Raw genomic sequence first — 2,109 nt, 5'->3', positions numbered from 1 at the left:
CTAACTTCAGAGAAAATTACCAGATATCAGAAACATAAGTCAGACAAAAAGTTCAAACATTCACAGTCTCAAATACAGGGCATGGGGACCAAGGAAAATGTTTATTTATAGCTGGTGCATGCAAACAGACTACGTAAGAAGAAGAAGTTGTATCTAGAGCCAGGCAGGGCAATACAGACCCTACATTTGACCACATATCGAAGTTTTATTTTTTCAAGGAGTATTTGTGGGGTGCCTACTCCCAGGCACTGAGGTGCAGCGTGAACGCCTTCCACTGTGCCGGTCAGTTTCTGGGATCCTGCTTCACTGACTCCAAATGCCCTGGCAATTGGGTGCATTGTTAAAATTCACCTCTGGTTCTGCCTTTGTTATAATCACACAAGCCTGGGCTCCTGGAACTCCAGGACCACTTCTCCAGGTCAGCAGTCAGTGGAAGCCTCTCATTGTCCTCTCCCAGGCCACCCTCTGATCACCAACATCCCTGGGAATTATCGACTGGCTTTCTGGGCTACGTAATGACTTCATCAATAACATTCACCAGTCTGGAAGGTCACTGGAGGAAGGGAGGCCATAGGAAGTGCCTTGCGAAGAAGGTGCTGTGTGGGCCACTCCCAGGGTTCACCACTCTGTTCTCCAGGCCTGTAATCGGCATGCTGGGATGGGTGCGTTGTTGACAGGAGGACAGGTCGTCACGCTCTCTGCGAGTGGGTATGGCCACAGCTAACGTCCTCAAAGCAATAATTCCATTTTATGTCTTTCACATTTAATAGCAAATTTGCCATTTAATCTTTAAGACACAAGTTACTTATTCTCAATCTACCTCTCCTCGCACTGCTATAATCTCATGCCACTCACAGAGGCCGGTGGCACAAAGCCCATCACGCTCCCAAATCAGGCCCATCTTTTCATTAGTTCACACCCTTCCCGAGGTGGCCTCCTTTACAGATGGCTGATCTGCAATCAACACCAGTTTGTTTCAATCAGAGCGGCTCCTGTTACTTCTCATTTGAAAACTGTTCCTCCAGAAGCACATTAGCAGTAGGCATCTAGAGCAACGGTGATTTTAACAATGGATTTTTATTTTCCTTAAGAAGAAATATGGCTGAAATCCAAAGGAAAAAAAAAACAAAAAGAAAAACTCTGTTTATTTGCATAGTTGTCCATAGAACATAAAGAAGATTTAAGCCTGTTCTACTCATTAATGTGTATAATGTCCCCTTTGAGCTAAGAAGGAAATTTATCAATCCCATTTTCAATCACAGAAATTGAGACAAGGGGATAAATACCGTACCCTGACCCATGGACCCAGGAACTGCCATTCAAAACAAACACAGGAATCTATGCAAAGTCTAAATGTTACACCTTTGTTTCTCTACTCTTAGTGCTGGAGAGAGTTTTTGCTTAAGGAATAATGGAGTTTTCTGGCATCATTCATTCCTAGAAAGAGGAGCAGGAGAGAGGAGAGAAAAGCCCTATCCTGGGAGATGGGGGCACATGCCTCCACCCCTCCACCTGCAGCCACTCTCTTCCTCCAGGGGTTTTTGTGAGCCAGCTGGGGTCTTCCACATGACCCTGTGGTACTGAGGTTAAGCATGAACACTTTTTCAAAGGCTGGATCACCCAGGCTGGGAAATGCTGACTTTAATAACAGGAGACTGTAAAATGATTTTCTTATCTTGCTCATCCTTCTTTTATTTCACTTGGGTAAATGCAACGTGGCCCCACACACTCAGGAATCTCATTTGTCACCAAGTGAAGGGGACAACTTAACATTCAATCCCTGGTGAATAAATGCGATTGTTTATTGCAGGAGGTTCTGAAAATTTATCGTTGCATTCACAAAGTGTGGGCTTCTGAAATTTGACATTGGGATCTTTGTTTATTTATTATTTATGCAGCTGGAATTGGTAATGTTCCCCAATTCTATTCCTTTAAAAAAAGTCATAAGTTGTTTTGAATATGTCATAATTCTTCCAAAAAGATATCAAGAACCATACCACTAAGTGACCATTGCTTCCTTCCAAGTAGGCATATGGGCATGTTTCAACAAGGTTGTCTCATCTCAAAATATACTTGGAGCTCCTCTGCCCCATCAGCCTTCAAGGTTCA

The sequence above is a fragment of the Homo sapiens genome, chromosome 18, assembly GCF_000001405.40.
Source record: "Homo sapiens chromosome 18, GRCh38.p14 Primary Assembly".
NCBI classification, from domain to species: Eukaryota; Metazoa; Chordata; class Mammalia; order Primates; family Hominidae; genus Homo; species Homo sapiens.
This window is presented reverse-complemented; position numbering follows the sequence as displayed.